This window comes from Homo sapiens, chromosome 3, assembly GCF_000001405.40.
Source record: "Homo sapiens chromosome 3, GRCh38.p14 Primary Assembly".
NCBI classification, from domain to species: domain Eukaryota; kingdom Metazoa; phylum Chordata; class Mammalia; order Primates; family Hominidae; genus Homo; species Homo sapiens.
The window spans coordinates 135,182,892-135,204,730 of record NC_000003.12 but is presented as its reverse complement, the minus strand read 5'-3'; the positions used below and the strand labels follow the sequence as shown (position 1 = coordinate 135,204,730).

The 21,839-nt window shown below is 42.9% G+C and overlaps 1 protein-coding gene across 1 annotated transcript in view; it reads right to left on the bottom strand.

The window, feature by feature from the left end:
• EPHB1 (EPH receptor B1) overlaps window positions 1-21,839 on the bottom strand; it is a 465,208-nt gene that overhangs the window by 55,737 nt on the left and 387,632 nt on the right. Inside the window, exons 11-12 of the mRNA NM_004441.5 lie at window positions 11,908-12,155; window positions 3,042-3,257 (exon numbers count right to left, since the gene is read on the bottom strand). Of these exons, the coding sequence (NP_004432.1) occupies window positions 3,042-3,257; window positions 11,908-12,155 (464 nt within the window). The remainder of the gene's footprint in view (window positions 1-3,041; window positions 3,258-11,907; window positions 12,156-21,839) is intronic.

Sequence of the window (21,839 nt, the reverse complement as noted above, 5' to 3'; positions counted from 1 at the left end):
AGGAGTTCGAGACCAGCCTGGCTAACATGGCAAAACCCCTTCTCTACTTAAAAAAAAAAAAAATTAGCAGGGCATAGTGGCGCACATCTGTAGTCCCAGCTACTCAGGAGGCTGAGGCAGGAGGATCGCTTGAACCCAGGAGGCGGAAGCTGCAATGAGCCGAGATCGCACCACTGCCCTCCAGCCTGTGTGACAAAGACTCTGTCTCAAAAAAATGAATAAATAGGCCAGATGCAGTGGCTCATGCCTGTAATCCCAGCACTTTGGGAGACCAAGGTGGCCAGATCAACTGAGGTCAAGAGTTCGAGACCAGCCTGGCCAACATGGCGAAAACCCATCTCTACTGAAAATACAAAAAAGTTAGCTAGGCATGGTGGTGGGTGCCTGTAATCCCAGCTACTTGGGAGGCTGAGACAGGAGAATCGCTTAAACTCTGGAGGCAGAGGTTGCAGTGAGCCGAGATCATGCCATTGCACTCCAGCCTGGATGACAAGAGTGAAACTCTGTCTCAAAAAATAAAAAAAAATAAAAAACTTAATTAATTAAGATAACTAAAAGGGTATAATTGGATTGTATGTAACACAAAGGATATATACTTGAGAGAATGAATACCCCATTTTCCACGATGTGATTATTATGCATTGCATGCCCGTATCAAAACATCTCATGTACCCTATAAATATATACACTTGCTCTGTACCTACAAAAACTAAAAATCAAAAAATTAAAATTAAAAATTAAAAAAGTAGACATATGTGAAATTTAAAAATGAGGCATCATTTTTCATTGTTGAAGCAGCAACCCTTTGTGAGGGTGGATCACCTCCAGGCCTGGTGAGGATGCTGAAGCCCGGCACCATACACTCCTGGTAGAGTGTGAATGTTTGCTAACTTTCATAAAAGTAATCTTGGCGGCAATGATGCCCAAAAGACACCCCAGATCACAGAGGAATAGGCATAATATGATCCAAATTTTGTAGAATAAAAATTTTCAAATTTTTGACCAAAAAGAAAAATGTCAAAGAAGGCACACCTAATTGTTGAAAATTAATGCGTCAGGGCAGGTGCAGGTAAACTATGGTCTGAAAGCTAAACCTGGCTGGTCCCTTTTTTGATAGTTCATGAGCTAAGAATGATATTTATAACTTTTTAAGGGGTTAGTTACATTCTAAATGGTTATATAATTATCTACATGGTATCTTTCATTTTGCCTCTTAGCCGGCAAAGCCTAGAATATTTACTAGATGGCCGTTTGAGAAAAAGTTTACCAATCCCTGCCTCAGGGGAATTTTAGTTTATTTTTTATTCTTTTTTTTAAATTTTACTTTAAGTTCTGGGATACACACACAGAATATGCAGGTTTGTTTCATAGGTATACATGTGCCCTGGTGGTTTGTTGCACCCATTAACCCATCATCTAGGTTTTAAGCCCTGAATGCATTAGGAATTTGTCCTAATGCTCTCCCTCCCCTTGCTCCTCATCTGCTGACAAACCCCAGTGTGTGATGTTCACATGTGTCACATGTGTCCATGTGTGATGTCTCCCTGTGTCCATGTGTTCTCATTGTTCGACTCCCACTTATGAGTGAGAACATGTAGTGTTTGGTTTTCCGTTCCTGTGTTAGTTTTCTAAGAATGATGGTTTCCAGCTTCATGCATGTCCCTGCAAAGGACACGAACTCATTCTTTTATATGGCTGCATAGTATTCCATGGTGTATATGTGCCATTTTCTTTATCCAGTCTATCATTGATGGGCATTTGGGTTGGTTCCAAGTCTTTGCTATTGAGAATAGTGCTGCAAAAAACATACATGTGCATGTGTCTTTATAGTAGAATGATTTTTAATCCTTTGGGTATATACCCAGTAAAGGATTGCTCGGTCAAATGGTATTTCTGGTTCTAGATATGTGAGGAATCACCACACTGTCTTCCACAATGGTTGAACTAATTTACACTCCCAGCAGCAGTGTAAAAGCATTCCTATTTCTCCACAGCCTCACCAGCATCTGTTGTTTCCTGACTTTTTAATGATTGCCATTCTAATTGGCGTTTCCTTTTACTTCTCTGCATTGTTTTGATTTTTGTAATAATTATGCATTACTTTTGCAGGTTTAAAGAGGATAGACAGATAGACAGGTTAGTAGGTAGATCAGTCACTTTGGGTGCTGTTGAAATGGATGTAAGGAGACAAAAGGAAAGGGACACCAGTTAGGAAGCCACTGTAACAATCCAGGTGAAAGGGAATGGTGCTTTGGAATAGGGTGGGGGCAGTAGAGATGGAAAGAGGGATAGATTTTTTGGTACCCTATGGGGGCCGCTGAGGGATTGAAAATAAATGGACACAGAAAGAAATCAAACATCATTCCTAGGTTTCATTCTTTAGTTAAGTGGTGCCAACTACTGAGATGGAGGGACTAGGGAGAGGATATTGGAGAGTAAATCCCAAGCTCTATTTTCGGCTTGTTAAAGTTCTAAATGAAATTGTGTGAACTAGGCAGTTGGATATAGATAATTAGAGCTGCTCAGAATGTAGAGGGGGAGGCTGAGCAGGAAATACAAGTTTAAGAGTACTCATCGTGTTGACGGTACTTAGAGCTATTTGGAAGCAATATAGAGAGAAGAGAGAAGGGGATCAAGAGTCTACCTAGTGACACAGTTCCCAACCCAGCTGCAGACTGAAGGCCTCATGCATGCCTGGGGTCTGCTCTCTGCTGACAGATGCCTCTGGTACCAGTGTCTACCTGCTTGGATTCCCTCAAATCATCTGTTCCAAAATTTCCTCTTCCCAAGGAACACTATAGCTTCATAATAGACACTGACCCTTCCTCACAGTCCAAGCCCAAATGCTTGCTTTCTTGCTTGAACAACCAGCTGCTATGGCTTCTCCCAGCTGGATGGTCCTCCTGGCATCTTGGTCTTTCAGTGGAGAGCTCAGTTCAGGTTCCATTCCCTCCCAGTGTGCCCTGTCACAGTTCCCAGCCATGTAGAGTCCCCTTTAACTCATGCCATGCTTCTACTTGAGAATGCCAAGAAGGACTCACCAAGGAGCTGGTGTAGGTGGGATCTGAGGTGTCATCCTGGAGGTAGCGGGAGAGGCCAAAGTCGGACACCTTGCACACCAGGTTACTGTTGACCAGAATGTTCCTAGCAGCCAGGTCCCGATGCACATAATTCATCTCAGCCAGGTACTTCATGCCAGCAGCGATGCCCCTGAGCATACCCACAAGCTGGATCACGGTGAACTGCCCGTCATTTTGCTGTAATAAGACATAGAGGGCATTGGGATCAAGACGGGCTTCAATGGTTAAGCAGAGGGAGAGATGTTGTGGCCCTGCTGCTTGTCAGCTTCTGTCTGCTCCAGGCCAAGCCACTCACTGTGTCCTCCTCTCTTCCCACTCCCATCCCCCATTCTTCTCCTTGAATGTTTTGTTCTCTTCTCCTTGCCAAGCCCTGTCAATTTTGTCTCCAAATTACATCTCAAACCCATTCACTTCTTTCCATCTCCACTGCCGCCAGTCCAACCAAGTCGCCATCATCCATCACCTACAACAGCCTCCTTGCCCGCCCCCCAATCCATTCTCTCCAGCCAGAGCCATCTTTTTAAGACATAAATCAGGCCATGTCAGTCCCTGGCTTAAAAATATCTAATAGCCTCCCATTGCATTAAGGAAAATCTCCAAACTCCTTAGCACAGTCCATGAGACCGCCTGGGATCAGCTACTGCCTTACCTTAGGCCACCATACCCATCACTAATGTACTAAAGCCACAGTGACTGGCACCCTTTCTTCTTTTCCAAGACAAACTCTTCCTGCCTTAGGGCCCTCAACATGTGCTATTCCCTCTGTTTTCCCTCCAACAATCGACATCTACTTGCCCTTCAGTTCTCCGCTTAAATGTCACTTTCTTAGAGAGGACATCCCTTTAACTCCCCCCCAAAATATGATTAGCACTTTCTCATGACAAATGTTTAGTGCATACTCTTAGTCTTCTTAGCACATATCACAAGTTTTAATCGTGTGTGTGTGTGTCTTTCTGTCTGTCTGTCTCTGCTGCTTGATTTTATACTCTTGGAGGACAAGAACTCTGTCCTTTTTGGTCACCATAGTATTATCAGTGCTGTAAACTTTAAGGTAGATAGAAAATCTCAATAAACACAAGTTGAATGAATGATGAATACATCTTTTCCTCTTTCCAAAATCAAGCATGTAAAGCACCTTCTCTGGGTAATCCCAGGGCTTTCAGCCCTTAGACTGGTATAACCACACCTACCTCATAGGGACAGTGGGTCAGGGGAACCTCATGCACAGCGTCTGGCACAGGGAACTCTCCTAGTGAATGGGAGCTGTTGCTGCTCCTCTTCATGGCAACCTGCAGTGCTGTCCTCTCTCCTATCATTTGTGGGCTCAGAGTTTCTTGGGTGGATGCCCTCCCTCTGGTTAGACAACAGACTCTTCAGTGAATAAAACAGTGTCTTCCTCCTATCTCCCCAAGGCTCCTGGGTCTTGACTTTGCACACACCAGTTAAATCAGTAGACCCTAAGCTATACTGCCAAGAACATATTTTCCCATCTAATCTAGCCCCAAATGCTCCCCAAAGGGCTGAGAATTATGTTCTATAAGTAGAGCACAGCCTAGTCATTAGAATGCTCTGACTGGAGGAGAGATGGAAGCAGGACACCTGGGGTCTAGTCTATGTTTACTGCTAAACATAGGCACTCTGCAAGGCAACCACCACCTGCATCCCAGAGTCCTTATGTGAAATGCAGAAAGCATAGACAATGAGAGGAGCTCCCATCATTGAGCATCTACTGTATGCGAGATGTTACACAATGCACTCACATGCATATGCTCCTGCAAAAGCATTTTCTATGCAAAAATAAGCAAGGAAAAATAAAAGACCTGTTATAAAAATACTCTACTTAGGAGCAACAACAACAACAATCAAAAAGTCTAACAATGATTGCATGAATTGTTGGAAACTCTGTTCCTCATGCAAGATTGCAAGCCTGGATCCATGTTCTGGGGGTTATGCTCCTTGATCAATTGAAGGAATAGAGCAAATTGACTTTCTCCCTCCTAAAGATGTCTGCCAGTAGAAGGGCCCCCAAACATATTGTGTTTGACACACTTCAAGTTCCAGGCTATTTCTAACTCTAACTTTAACCACCTCCAAACCTGCCCAGGAGATTGAATGTATGCTTTCTCCATAATAGATTCTTCTAAGCAACTCAAAAAGAAAGTTTAGAGCTACTTTTTGGAAACTCTGACTGGTTTTCAGCACGTTGCCCATCTGTGAGCTGGATGTGCAGTGAGTGATGCAGATCTTCCTTCTCACTAATACACTTCAATCAACACCTTCTCAAGAAGTTAGGCAGGCTGTTGCTAGCACGAAGCATTTTCTCCAAGTAGGTCTCTGGGGATTTGCTTCTTCAGAAAGTTGTCATGCAATTTCTATATATTACAGAGGTGTATCTCAGCCACAAGTCACATGGATTGTATTTTTTCAATTCAGTCTATTATTTCCTCTCTGTAAGTATAGGCAACAGTGTCTACACATACAGAATGTCTCCCTAAAAAAGATGGCATTTGGGGAGAGCACTGGGGTGGCTTAAACAACTTTGAGAACAGTAATGTTGAAAGTGCATGCAGCAATGTGTCTACATTTTTGCTTTAAGTCATTTAAGTCTTCTTAGAACTTCTTTATTATCTGATTTGTTTTAAAATTTAGATTATAAATTTTATAGTTTCTGGGGTCAAAAAAGACCAAGAAATGAGGAAAGGTCCAGGCTTTGGAGCCAGCAGACCTGATTTGGATCCAGGCTCTGCAGCTTAGTGGTTGTGTGGGCTTGGGCAAGTTATTTAACCTCCAGAGCAGTTATTTCCACATCTGTAAAATAAGAACATAGTGTCCGTTCTTCATAGGGTTCTGGTGAGACTAAATGAGATAACACATATGAAAGGCCCTAGCTCAGTGCCTTGTGTATCCTAAGACGGTAGCAATGATCCCTGCTAACATCAGCAGAGCCTAAGTAACGGCTCACAAGTCAGTTCCCCTGTACCTCAGATGAGTGTGGTGAGAGAGACTGAGGACACCTGGGACCAGAACTCTGGGTTTTCATGGCTTCCTGGGTGTGTGTGTGAAACATCCTGGGATCATTGTCCTTGGGGAGCCCACTACTCAGCACATGCTGAGCTCAGCAGGTAACAGATAGGCACCTGTAATTGTAGGAGATGGTTGGGACCTAATGATGCAGGCCTAAACTTTGGCTCAATTAGTCACAAATGTTGGTAGCATCCATCACTTGACTTTTGAATGGCACATAATACTTACAGAATATGTTTAGATCCTTAAAACCAGTCCTGTGCAGTAGGCAAGACAGGCAATATTATATTGTTTTCACAGACAAGATAAAGGAGGTCCAGAAAATGTATGTGATCAGCCTTAAATCACGGTGTGGGTTTGAGTTATAACAGTAATCAAAGTTCAGAATGGTAAATCACTTCTCCACTGACAACCCATCTCCGATCAACTGGTAATGGTGGCCTCAAACGCTGTGTGGAGAAAAAGGCTGTGCATAAGCTTTGCAGGGAGAAGAACCATGATGGATTAGTGATGCTACTCTTATCTGGGTCTTCTAACTCCTATCCTGTGCTTTTGCCATTGGAATATGCTGACTCTGCAATGGGCAATACATTTTCTTTAGAATCTTCAAGAGAACCACATATCAAGATATGTAGGGTCATGTCTGCTGAATTCGTAACCTTGGTGAAATTTAAAGATAAAAACATATTAAGATTTTTCTGGCATGTTTAACTGTTACATGCTCAGTTGATTGGCATAATTCTCCAAAAAGAACTTCCAGAGATATGAACAGCAGCATTCAAAGATGAACAAGATAAGAAAAAAAAAAACTAACTTATTTCTTGGTGACTTTGGGAAAGAACCTGGCTCCATGCTGAGCACATAGTAAAAACATAGTACAGAGAAGAAATACAGGTCTAGGTGAGGTGATTTAAACTTTCCTCCCTTCATGAAGTGCTTTCTGCTGAAATTGCTTTTCTGCAAATGCACCGAAGCCACTTGCTGGCCCTTATATTAGACAGGAAGGATTTAGGTATTTCAACTTTCATTGACGAATCCACTTCAGGAAATGAAACTCTTATTTGATTTGTTTGAACAAAATGAATCATAGATTTTTTCTAACTGAAAGGGACCTTTCAAGCTCATCTAGCTCAATGCCTTTAGTTTATAAATTGGAAAATTGAGTTAACAGGTTTGCTCCAGGCCACAGGGTGACTCACAGCAGAAGCCAAAGCAGAACCTTGGTCTCAGGACTTCCAATCTGGTGTTCTCTTCCTGACTTCTGGGTTGCTATCTTCTAGCTGCAGCCCATGAATGAGCTTCTCTGATGAGAAATGTCCCCGTTTGACATTACTCAGCGACTTTCAAGAGTCTTCCAGTTATGATTATCTGTGAAAGAACCAGCAGCAACCACAAAGCCAAGCTTTAGGCAAGAAGGCCTTATGGCGCATGTCAAGAACCATGTTAACTAAACCATGGGATACTGGTCACAGCTTCAGGAATTGTTTCGCTTATTATTATTTTTTTTGTCTTTTTTTTTTTTTTCCTTTTTCTGGAGAACGGGGTCTCGCTATATGGCCCAGGCAGGTCTCAAACTCCTGGGCTCAAGCTATCCTCCAGCCTCTTTCCTCCCTGAGAGCTGGGATTACAGGCGTGAGCCACCGCGCCCAGCCGAATTGTTTCTAATATTACGGAAGAGCCACCAGGTTGAATCCCTTGAATTTGAGTATCAAGAAGGAAAAATTTAATTATGGATTTGTATGCTATATAATCCATGGCACAATAATTTTTAGAAAATTGATAATAATGAACCATCTACTGAATGTGTGGTTGAAGCATAATGGTATCTCTCAGATGCTGATTCAGGGCTAGAACCGTAGCCACTCTCCAAAGACGCTATGACCAGTGGGAAAGGAGAAGTTGGAGGGGAGGAAACAGTTCCAGAAATTGAAGACTAATCCTTTTCCTTTCTTCTCTGAGTAGTGATCCTAAAATTATCCTACTTCCCAGAAGATGGACCCTGTAGAACTGAACTGATGACCTATTTTTCGATTTTATCAAGCAGCAGATATGTCAATTAATGTTGCTATGCTCCAGGGTTCGGTAGTAAGGCTGAAATTAGATTTATAGATTACCTGCCTCCATGCAGTGTGAGGAGTCAGAAACGCTTCATTTCCCCCTCTCCTCCTGGCACTGCCTGCTCCCACCACTCCTTTCTTACCATGCCTGCTCCTCTGTTTTCCCGTGCTCCTCTCATGCCCCCAGGTTTTCTTCCCCTGCAAGCTCAGCTCATCAACATGAGAAATGCTGGTGTCCAACATGCCTCCGTGACCTGAGCCCCAAATGAAAACAGGCCCTAGGCAACCTACAAAATGGGAGAAAATTTTCGCAACCTACTCATCTGACAAAGGGCTAATATCCAGAATCTACAATGAACTCAAACAAATTTACAAGAAAAAAACAAACAACCCCATCAAAAAGTGGATGAAGGACATGAACAGACACTTCTCAAAAGAAGACATTTATGCAGCCAAAAAACACATGAAAAAATGCTCATCATCACTGGCCATCAGAGAAATGCAAATCAAAACCACTATGAGATACCATCTCACACCAGTTAGAATGGCAATCATTAAAAAGTCAGGAAACAACAGGTGCTGGAGAGGATGTGGAGAAATAGGAACACTTTTACACTGTTGGTGGGACTGTAAACTAGTTCAACCATTGTGGAAGTCAGTGTGGCGATTCCTCAGGGATCTAGAACTGGAAATACCATTTGACCCAGCCATCCCATTACTGGGTATATACCCAAAGGACTATAAATCATGCTGCTATAAAGACACACGCACACGTATGTTTATTGTGGCACTATTCACAATAGCAAAGACTTGGAACCAACCCAAATGTCCAACAATGATAGACTGGATTAAGAAAATGTGGCACATATACACCACGGAATACTATGCAGCCATAAAAAATGATGAGTTCATGTCCTTTGTAGGGACATGGATGAAATTGGAAATCATCATTCTCAGTAAACTATCGGGAGAACAAAAAACCAAACACCGCATATTCTCACTCATAGGTGGGAATTGAACAATGAGATCACATGGACACAGGAAGGGGAATATCACACTCTGGGGACTGTGGTGGGGTGGGGAGATGGGGGAGGGATAGCATTGGGAGATATACCTAATGCTAGATGACGAGTTAGTGGGTGCAGTGCACCAGCATGGCACATGTATACATATGTATCTAACCTGCACAATGTGCACATGTACCCTAAAACTTAAATAAATAAATAAATAAATAAATAAAAAGAAAACAGGCCCTAGGAAGAGCAGCAGTGTGGGGTTTTGATTTTCCGCAGGCTCATGAGAATGAATCTCCCTGTTCCCCTGCACACTCCAGCGGGGGAGTGTGATCACAGTCCCCAAATCAAGCAGTGACTCTCTCTGAAGTACAATCAGGTGACTGGTAGGAAATAAATGACTCCCAAAAGGGTCTTGACAGTGGTTCCAGAAAATGCTTTTCCTTCTCACATTGCCTTTTATTCAAGTTTATTCAACTTTGTTTATTCAACTCAACTTCATTCAACTTTGTTTATTCAACTGTCTTCATGAGATCTCTGATAATAAATGAATGTCCCCAGGAAAGCATAGACAATGATTGCACTGACATGACAGGTGTGGCAGCAAGGACAGTGAGAGATAATGTACACACAGGATGACTAGAGCTCTCGTGCCACTCCCTAGCATTTTTGTTTGAGAAATAATCTTTTAGTCAACTAGCATTTACCAGGTGTGCACTGTGTTAGGTATTGGAGTTTCCAAATACAAAGCATAACCCCATACCCTCAAGGAGGCTGTCCTAGGGAAAGTACATGGGCTCAGTAATCTACATCAGTTGTTCTCCACCCCTGCACCCTCAGAAAAACAAAAGCCACTACTTCCTAGTGACCCAGACTGGGCAAAAAGCATGTTCCTGTTGTACAAAGGTAGCTTCAGTAGTGTGCTTCTAGACAAGTCCCCCAGCTACCCTTCCACACTACAGCCCCTAAGCTCTGTTTCTGAGTGCTGGAGCTACCATGCAGCAGCTGATAAATTACCAAATAGGTCCACATTTACTTCGGCCTTCATATACACTGTTTCGCTGTTCCATCAGCCTACCTACCTGCTTCTCGCTTGTCTGGCAAATTCCTCATTCTCTAATCTCAGATAAATTCTTCCTCCTCTTTGAAGCCTTCCCTAGATTCTCCAGGAAGATTTAAGAACTTCTTCACTTACTACATCTGTACTTAACTTATGGGGAAAAAAAGTATAAGATAGGCAAATGATTACTAGAAGCTTTGGGTACTAGCAGGAGTAGGGACTACATTGATGGCAGGTTATACTGTCTAAGATGAACACAACAAGATCTCCCATCTATCATGTTTAAGAAGACATTGAGTTGATGTCCCTTCATCAAAATGTGGGGCCTGTTTTCTCCCCTTGTATCTGGGCCTGTCACTACGTTGGAAGTGACACTATGTGCCTTCCTAGGCTGGGTCACAAAAGTAATACAGATTCCTCATTCCTCTCTTGGGATGCTTTTTCTTGAGACCCAGCTTGCTCTAAGGAAGTCCAAGCAGGCCACCTAGAAAGATGGCACTGACCACCTAATATATGAATGAAAGAGGCTTCAGACAATTCTAAGCCTCAGCCCTTGAGCTACTGCAACTGACTCCACATGGATCAGAGGTGTCCCTCCCAAACCTGGCCCAAATTGCAGATTCATGAGCAAAATAAATTGTTGTTGTGCTAAGCCACTGAGGTCTTGGGGATGATTTGTTACGTAGCATTAGAGCAAGGTTTCCTTTATCTCTATAGGCACAGCATCCAGAATAGGGCCTGGCCAGAGCAGTGATCCCAGCAATGTTTCAATGACTGACCCTTTAATCTGTAGCCACAGCTATTGTTTGGTTGCTTTGGTAATGTGTGTAGCCAGCTACTGGGTATCACTCTGAAGTCCTTGCTCAGAAGGCTCTGCCCATTCTTTGATGCTGCCCACTGGACCCTCTGCTCTCAGCTTCTGCTTCCTGGCTGAAGCTATCAGCTTCCACTCCCCAGATATCAGCATCATGGCCATTCTCATTCACCCTTCCTCTAGGTGCTCAGTGATACCCTACAGAAATGAAAATGGTTTCATTGTGGGCCTGGCTCTACTTTGGGCATATTCTGACAATGATCTTTTACAGGTCTCCCAGCCAAAGGCCTTCAGCAACTCCCCACTTCTGCTGCAAGTTGGTTGGGAATCTTCGCCAATCACAGAAATACCCGTGGATGCTTGTGATGCAGTCTTCCCCTTCCCTACTCAGAAGTGCCTCCTCAGAGGGCAGGTGGCCCAGGCATCAGAAAATGGCAACCTGTTTTACTTCTGAACCTGTAAATGCAGAGAGCAGTCTGGGAGGGTGGCTGTGCTGATGAAAGGCAGAGATGGCCGCGGATGTCTGCATGAATCACACAGGGCTGTGCAGCAGCCAAAAGTCTCTTCAATCTCTGTGATTCATGCAGATGCCAATGGCCATTCTTTGTCCCTCTCTATTCATTTTATTCATCCAATAAGCATTTGTCAACGCCCTACTCCATGCCATCCTCCTCCTGAGGATCCCACAAGCCCTGTTTTGTTCTCTTCTTTTAGCAACAAATCTCTGCTAACATCTCCAATGCCCATTCACACTGGATCAGGCGATTCCTGATTGGTAGGTTGTGCTCATGGAACCCCTCTCCCCAGCCATCATTCACCTGCATCCAAGTGCATCATCAAACCCCTGAGTTGCTCTTACCCTGAGGAAAGAATCCAATGCACCATTCTCCATGAACTCTGTGATGATCATGACAGGCCGACTCTTGGTGACCACACCCTCCAGGCGAATGATGTTAGGATGGTCGAACTGGCCCATGATGCTCGCCTCACTCAGAAAGTCCCGACGCTGCTTCTCCGAGTACCCTGCCTTCAGGGTCTTGATGGCCACGTAGATTTCCCTCTTGCCTGGCAGTTTCAAACGCCCCTTGTACACTTCTCCAAACTCCCCTGCAACAGCAAAAATGCCATTAATATCCTCTTCCTTCTCAGTCTGTGGACTCAAGAGGGAAGTCATCTAATGGAGAACAATGGTGCCCCAAGTGGAATTGTGATTAAAGTGGCGGAAATTAAAACAGTCTTCTCTCATTGTAACTATATTGTTTTGGCTGTAACCAGTTCATGGCAAACACAAAAGGATTACTAAAGTACATTCCTTACCTTGGTACTTAGAAATAGTTTGGGTAACTAAAGTGGAATTTCAGAATATATGTGAGTTTGTTTTTCCCCACACTTAATTTTTCCATTGTGTGCCAGCTGAATAATTGAAATGAAATGGTCAGTTTCACTTTGGCAGGATCATGATTCATTTTTAGCAGATACTGGTGCAAGAACATTCAGGGGATAGGAGACATGTTCAGGTACTTTGGCCCTCTGAATGAGATGTATACTGTTTATGTTCCTACACTGCTGGGAGAGCATTTGTGTTTATTGGGTGCCCCAGAAAACAGACACTGAGGAGTTAGGAAGGGAAGAGGTTCACTTGTGAAAGACAAAAGTGAGAGGAAGCAGGATTGGGCGGAGACAGCCCAAGATCACCATGCAGACCTGATGAAATCCCAGCTAACCCAAAGGGAGAGCCAGAGCAGAGTTCCCATTGCAAAAGCAGCCCAGCCCTCACATCCCTGCCATGCTCAGTCATTGGCTGGGGGCTGCTGGGAAGAGCTGGGCCTCTGCAGGAAAGCCGGGGCCGACCCTGAAGGTGCTGCAGCTGGAGGCTGTCAGCTAACTGCACTTTTGGCAGCTGAATAGCAAGTTATTTCTCCAAACAGGCATGAGCTGCACACCTCCATGCATGCCACAGCGTTGAAACATTTTCACAGTAAAGTCACCAAGAGTAGAAACAATTATGGTGACATTATTTCATAGCTGCCTAAAAAAAAAAAAAAATCTGTTGAATCCTGTTTAACATGCTTTCAAAAGTTATTTTATAATTTAATTTGGCTTGGTTACTTCCAATTCTTTCATGTGAAGCAGTTCAGTGTCTACTTGTAAGTGCAGCAGAAGAAACATGGCTTTCTGCTGAGAAAACTTTCTCTCTCACTTTCCACTTCTGGAAGAAAATGATGGAGCAAACTGAGCAATCAGATAAATTACTTGCCATATTAGAAAGACAAGTTAACATTGCTCCTGTGATTCATTTGGGAGTTCCTTTTGTTTTCTTGCTGCAAAAAAGATTGGAAGGAAGCTGTGTGAAAGGACTGTTATGCAAAACTTCTCCAGAGTCAACAGAACTTGATAGAACCTGGGGCTGGAGTAGAGGCTGGTTAAGCACCATTAGGAAGATTTCAACATGGACCTAATACTCAGATAAATATCATTTACAACACTATGTGTTTTGGGGGGGCTGTTCTTTTTCCTTCCTTCCATCCTTCCTCCCTTTTTCTCCCTCTGTCCCTCCCTCCCTTCCTTCCTTCCTCCCTTCCACTCCTTTTTTTTTGTTTTGTTTTTTGAGACAGGGTCTCACTATGTTGCTCATGCTATACTCGAGCTCCTGGGCTAAGCGATCATCTTGCCTCAGCCTCCTGAGTAGATGGGACCACAGGTGTGCACCACTGCACCTGGCTGCAACACTGCTTTTCACATTGAATCATATACTCTTTTGGTGAACTGCTGGAGGTCAGACCAAGTCTCATTCCTGTTTGTAGCTTGCACATCCACTCCACTGTGGTGCTTGGCACATAGCAGACATGCCAGTAAAAGTTGTTGTATCATATTTATTATTATATGTTTGGCTTTTGCCTTGCTCACTCTTGGGTTACAAACTGCTGAAGATTCTTATCTCTGCTTTATCCAGAAATAGAAGTACCACTATTTGAATTTGTATGTTAAAAATATATTTACTGCAGCATCATCTTCTATAGACAAACACTACAATAGCTTAACTTATTTAGTAATTAAAATGAGTAAAATTTAAAGAAAAGTACTAGACAATACAGACCTGTCACATATGTGTGTGTATATGTGGATGTATGTATATATGTCTAGATATATGTATGCATGTATATATGTAGCATATATGTATGCATGTAGATACGTAGCATATATATGCTATATATATATAACTATGAGCTGAATGAACACAAATTACATATTTGGTAAGTATACTAATGGAAGAATATTGGTTAGTATTTCTTCCTTGTTGTCATAATAATGGGCTCTATTTTCTTTTAGAAAAAAGCCAGAGTTGATAGTTGAGGGTAAAGGTGTGTTAATATTTCTTTGTGGAGGAGACAGCACACAAATGTGTATTTATTAACCACCTACTATGTGCCAGGAACTGTGCTAGGCACTTTGTGTGACTTATTCAATCTTCACAACACTCCTGTGAGGTAGGTATTACTATGGCCATTTAAATAATAAGGAAACTGAGGCACAAGGAAAACATGTCCCAATCACACAGCTGGGAGTTACAGCCAGGGCTGTGGTCCATACCCATCTTTTCCTGCCATACTGCCTCTAGATAGCTATGTTTCAGTTGGCAGGGACATGGGGAATAAAGCTACATAGATATGAAGTTATAGTTCAGGGACCATCATGCCCCAAATGTGCAGGTCCCAACAAGTCATATATAGTGACTGTCATAGCAACTCAATATCCATGTGAGAACAAAAGAAGTGATACTGTTTAACAGGCAGATGTCTTTCACATAAGCCTCCTGCCTGGGAGTTGGGTGGCATCAGAATATTTGGAAATCAGTGTATTTATCAGTTTCTACCTATCAGTGTGTGGAGTTTGGAAAAGTGCTCCAGGTGAATTTGATGTCCCCCACAACACACAAAAAGACTCCAGTTGAGAACTTCTGTTCTACCTCAGTGGTTCTCAAAGTTGGCTGCCCAATGGAATCACCTGAAGAGACTTACAGAGTCCAGAGGCCTGGGCCTCACTTCAGAGATTCTGATGAATTGGTTTGGATACAGCCTGCACATTGACATATTTAAAAGCTGCCCAAAGGATTGGTTACATAATTTGCAGAGCACGGTGCAAAGTAAAAGTGCAGGACTCCTTGTTCAAAAACTATTGAGCATTTCAATACTGTAACAGCAGAGCATTAAACCAAGTGCATGTCCTTCTGAACATCCGGCCCTGTGAAAATGCACCAGTCACAGGTCCATGAAGCCAGGCCTGGCTGCCCGGTGATACTGACATGCCGCTCAGGCTGAAAACCATAGGCTTAAACCATCCAAGCTCTTTTCAAATGAATTAGTGAACTGCCAAAAGCCATGGCATTCCTGAAATTTCTCTCTGTACTTCTGAATACTTTTGAAAGCAAAGCACACATATAGCCTGCCTCATACAGCACAGGTCCTGGCACATAGTATGGACTTTATAGATGTGAGAGGAGAGAAAGAAGAAAAGAAGGAAGGAAGAAATCAATGAAGATGTATAGGACAGTATGAATCAAACTACTTTCCTAATTGGGAAACGTTATTTAATTTTTAATCTTTGTGACTGGTCTTCAAGTCTAAAAACTCATCATACAGTTTTTAAAAATTATAAAATATAAACATGCCTTCTTTGGGTAGGGCATGGTGGACTTTGTGGTTGGTTACCTTCGTGGTCATGGTGTCACTGCTCTCAGAAATCTGCTCTGCAGTGACTTAAAGAATGGAAATTCTGTAAAAGAATTCCTTTCCTGTCTGGCAAAGAAGTGTCTTCATATTCTCCAAGCCAGGAGGTTTTCAAAGCACCAACTGCAAAGAATGCCACTTAATATCTAATCCTCACCAGGAGATTATGTTCGCCCCTGTAATTAAGTAGGCCCCTGAGTACAGTTGGGAGGAAAATTGGTAGTGAGTGGAGGAAGAAGCTCCATGTCTACACGCAAACAACACCTGAGACATTGGATGTTGGCGGGCCCTTCATTTCTCCAGAACTTAGCTTTCTCCTTGTTATATAATAAAAAGAAGTGACCAATTGTCTTGCCTTACCAACAGTGTGTTGAGAGAAGTCTAGGAGAAAGTGCTTTGTAAACTACAAACTGTTCGAAACACTTGTGGGTGGTTATTTATTTATTATTCTATTTTTTTTTGAGACAGAGTCTTGCTATGTCGCCCAGGCTGGATTGCAGTGGCGTGATCTCGACTCACTGCAATCTCGGCCTTTCGGGTTCAAGCAATTCTCCTGCCTCAGCCTCCCAAGTAGCTGGGATTACTGGCGCCCACCACAACGCCCGGCTAATTTTTGTATTTTTAGTAGAGACAGTGGTTCATTATGTTGGCCAGGCTGGTCTTGAACTCCTGACCTCGTGATCTGCCCACCTTGGGCTCCCAAAATGCTGGGATTACAGGTGTGAACCATCACTCCTGGCCTTTATTTATTTATTTTTTTAGACAGTCTCGCTCTGTTGCCCAGGCTGTAGTACAGTGATGTGATCTCGGTTCACTGCTACCTCCACTTCCCACGTTCAAGAGATTCTCCTGCCTCAGCCTCCCAAGTAGCTGGGATTACAGGCTTGTGCCACCACTTTTATCTAATTTTTTTATTTTTAGTAGAGACAGGGTTTCTCCATGTTGGCCAGGCTGGTCTCGAACTCCTGACCTCAGGTGATCTGCCTGCCTCAGAATCCCAAAGTGCTGAGATTACAGGCATGAGCCACCATGCCAGGCCTGTTTTAAAAAGACAAAACAGAAGTAGGTAGTTGGGAGGGGGAGTGCAGAGTAGGGGAGTCTCACTGGAAGAGAAAAGAGAGGAAAAGTAGGTTTCTGCAGCCTTTTGAGACTTATGGTGACTGATCTAAGACACATCAGAGCTTTTTGCCAGGGGACATGGTGAAGTTTCCCTGCCAGGTGCCTGAGCATGGAGGGTGTCTTCAGGTAAGCCTAGGATGCTAAAGTCTGGGTTTCTGGCCCTTGAGCACACCACAACCTACAGCCTTATAGAGAGGCAGGAGTCGATGGGCGTATTGCTATTATTAATAACAAACAGGAAATCAAGACCCTGTGTCACTTACAATCTAAGAAATTGCTGTCGCCTGTGATCTTTGACTTCAGTTTAATATAGTATCTACAAGAAACTATTTTTGCATTTTGATAATTTTCCTGTAATTAGGGCCAGGACTTGATGTCTGTGGTACTTCGATTCGCCATCATCTGAACTCTAAAGAGCTTCGTTTTACTTGAGCTCCAAATCATGGCCATAACGTTTTCATTTTTAATAAAAATTCATAATACCTAGAAAATATTTCCAGCAATTCAAGAATTAACGTTATATTTAAGACAGACGCTTAAAGGAAACGACTGTGCTGGGGAGTGGTTGTGGTTGATTCTTTTCACACAGATTCTTTACTGACAGTAAATGTGGCCAGCCTAATTTTGGTCCCACTGGACTTTGATTGGCACACATCTTTGTGTCTGACATTGGGTCCTCTCCTATAGCCAGACATCTATTTGGTTAGGACCCAGATCCAGGTGTAGGTCAGTCTAGTGGCCAATGTGCTCAGCAGTGGTTCTCGAACTGTGGTTCTTGACCAGTAGCATCAGTATCACCTAGGAACTTGTTAGAAAATGCACTTTCCCAAAACCCACCTAGACCCACAGCATCAGAAGCTCAGTAGGTGGGGCCTGTGACCTGGGTTTTAGCAGCCTCCAGGTGATTCTAATGCCTGCTTCATCTATTTGAGAACCTGGCCCTCAAGGCTGTCAGCTGAGGGTAATTTAACCAATTCCTATGCATTTCATCCCAGATAGCTGCTGAAATTATTCCCTGCAAGTTTCAGCTCCTTGCCAATTCCTCTTTCCTACCTTCCTTGACAAAATGAGGAAGAGAGAAAAAGTGCTTCAGCAGCATTAAATGCCTCAACTATTGTATGTAAAATCAGAAGAAAAGAATTCTCAATTTTTGAAAACGAAACATTCACCTGCCAGCAGGTATTTCAAGCAGTAGCTTCTGGTTATGCACAGCTCAAATCTACACACAATTGCACTTTTTTTAAAAAAGCAGCATTTTGAAGTCAAAAACTGCCTTGGGGGGAAAAAAAGGAAAGCAGAGCTTCTAGTTACTAATTCAAGCTTACACCAGAAATGGAATTTTTAAAGAATACATTTAAACTAGGTTTTAAAGCATGATTTCAAGCAAGTTTTAACACACTAGCTTGTGCAAGATAAATGAGTTACGGCTAAACCAGGGAGAGCAGAACCATGGTACACACTCCACCACTTCCTGACCCTGCACAGAGGATAGACATTATTAGTTGATCACAACCATCTTCACCCTTTCATCAGAGTTCCTCAGATACTCATTACCAGGCCACTGAGTTGGCACATGAGATGGAACCTGCTTGACAGCCACGGTATTCACAATACCTAATATCCAGAGAGTGAGGGAAAATGGTTTTCTCTTTTCTTGTAGCTTTTTATAGTTGTTAAACAACTGCATACCTATATATCACATATGAGTGTATATATCTTCACACACATACATACATCTACATTTTATATGTAATTAGCTTATTTTCATAAGCAAGCACTTATAATTAAAGATGCTAAATATCTCAGTCCTTGTTGTCCTTCTTAACGCTGATAACTGATCACACTTAGAAGAAGAAAACCAGAAGACAGGACCAGGGTATTCTATGAGGACCATGCTCTCTCCAGGGCATGTGGGACAGTCTTTGTAGCATCACAATAGAGTAATAATGAATTCTAGGATGGTATCATAATTCCCAACAACGAGGCTTGAGTATTCAAAACTGCTAGAGAGAAGCAATGGGTATTCCAAAATGCCATCGGAAGCAATGCCTCTGTATACTGAGCTGCTCTTTTCCATAGCAACAAGAGTGGCAGCTGGCCACTCTGTAACTATACGCAACAGCCCTAGGGTTACATTCATGTGAGGGTTACATTCTCCAGATCTGGATCAGCTCTAGCTGGGTTTAAATTCTAGCTCTATCATAAACTTAACTGGCAGCACAGCCTTCGGCAAGCTATCCTCTGAATGTTGATTTCCTTACCAGTTACAAGAAAATATACATGCATACAGATATATATGCTCTAACTCACAGAGCAATAAGAGACTTAAATAAGACGATGCTTGTGAAAGATGTAGAGTATTGTCAGACACACGGTGAGTGTTCAAGAGATGCTAGCTACTTTGACTATGTTCCTGGAGACATGTCTATGATTTCTTCTCCTAGAAATGCTTCTTGCCGTAACTTCTATTCAATGTGGAGCTACCCTCATGCTGTCCATCTGCACTCTGAATGACCCCAGGACTGTCAAACTTGCAAGTGACCTTTCTGCCAAATCATCCCCAAGGAAACCCGGGCCTTTGTTGGCCTCACAGATGACTCCATCCCCATCCACACATATCACACATTCCCTCATCCCAACTATTCTCACACAGCCCTTTCACTGCAAGCTTCCTTCTTCCAGATGATCATCCATTCCTGGAAATGTTGAATCACTAGCTGCTAGAGTCAGAGGAGACATATTTATTCATGAAAATACAAATGGCATGTCTTCTTCTGCCAACAACTTCTAGTGACACCTTTACCTATGTAGTCATACACTGACAGTCATGCTTAGGCTGTTGCATACAGTTATACAGGTTTCACACTGCACCCAGGAGTGCCATTCAAGCTGTAGAGCCCTGATTCATGTTCTGGGCAAGTCTACTGATCAAACTGACCAGAATTAACCAATGCATTGGAGTTGACCTATGACATGATGCCTATTAGTCAGACTCATGGTAACAATAAACTGGTACTCTCTGAAGATACCAAGGTAACCTGCTGCCCTCTGTGAAGATACTTCAATTACTCTCATTATCTACAGTGAGAAGAGGAAGAGTCAGCTTTCCTTCACTCTACTGGGCCACTTTCAGAGCATCAAATGACTCATGATCTCATGCCACCTGTCCAGTCTCTCTTCATTCTCCCAAACACTACCTAGTTCTCCAGATTTTTAACTGCCATGTTCTCCCTCCAAGGACCTACTTTCATTCGCCATATACAACAAATATTTAATTGAGCATTTAAGTGCCATGCACTAGGCCAGGTACCAGACCAACAAAACACATACATTCCCTTGCTCCCATAGAACTTTGAGCCTTGTGAGGAAAGACGAACATTAAACAAATAATTACTTAATAATTAATGATTTATTATTGTCTTCTTGGGTGGCATCACACCTGGCTCACAATTATTATATTTTTATTTCTTTGATCAACATTTGCAACAACTTTAGGAGAAACTTTGGCAGCTGATGCAACTTTTCAGCCTCACAATTTCTGAACTTTCCCTCCGTGGGTCTTCACTCACATGCACAACTGCCACTCCCCACAACCTGGGTGCCAGGCAGCCTTACTCTCCCTTAACCTGATGCCCCTCATTTCTGATCACAGCCTCCATGCTATGACTCCCCATCACCTCCAGGCACCAAGCTCACTAGTCACTCCATTCATCACATTCATTTGGGTATACCCCAGTTTGGATAAGCTTAGTCACTTAAATGCAGCCTTGATCCTAGCATCAACCATCTCAAAGCCTCTCTGTAACATCTAAACAAAACCTCATAACTTGTCTTCCCACCTCCAAGGTTTTAGCGATTGTTTCCCATCCCCCTCTTCCAGTCCAATCCAAGCACAGCATTTATAGGATTCAGCTTGCTAGAACCTTGGTCCTTTCACCCACCCTGCTATGAAACCTATTTTCTATGGGATAAAATTCATATAGCAGCCTCTGGATCTCTAGATCTTGGCCTGATTCTCCAGATTTAGTGTTCAGTACTTACCCACAGGCAATCCCTCTCCAGCAACTTTCTTTCCCCTTGTTCTCAGGATGTGACACACAATGTCAGTCCATCCAAAGCCTTCACAACCTCAGAGGCCACTTTGTTCCCTCTTCCCTGAGTCCTCTCCTGCCATCAAGCCTTCTCTCCCATCTCCAGGGCTACACATTCTCCGGGCCCTCATCTGAGCTCTCAATCACTGCCTTCCTCTCACTGAGTGGCATTGAATGTGTGTGCTTTAGACAATAACCCCTGCATGGCAGGACTTGTTAGGCATTGAGTATATTTTTCCAGCATCACCCCCAGTCACATGCACAGAAACAATGTTTAATGAATAAAGATCTTTCTGAACTGTAAACTTAATCCCTCCTGCAACAAACATAGCCTTCTCCTCTGGCTCTATATTTAGCTGGTGCAGGGTAGTTCTTCTGCAACCTCTTTGAAATAACTTTACATAGTCTGGAGGGTGGGGGTGTGCTTATAAGTGTTCAACTACCAGCTCTCCAGGAAGGAAGGAAGGAAGGAAGGAAGGAAGGAAGGAAGGAAGGAAGAAAGGGAGGGAGGGAGGAAGGGAGGGAGGGAGGAAGGGAGGGAGGGAGGAAGGAAGGGAGGAAGGAAAGAAGGGGCTCATGATTTGTAGCATTTTCCAGTTCCCATAGTGTAAATACTCCCACTATGATTGATGTCAAGAAGAAAGAAAGGAAGAGAGAGAGAGAAAGAGAAAGAAAGAAAGAAAGAAAGAAAGAAAGAAAGAAAGAAAGAAAGAAAGAAAAGAAAAGAAAAGAAAAGAAAAGAAAAGAAAAGAAAAGAAAGCAAAAGAAAAGAAAAGAGAAAAGAAACGAAAGAACAAACAGAGGGCAGGCTCAGGATTTGTAGCATTTGCCCATTCCCATGATGTAAATACTTC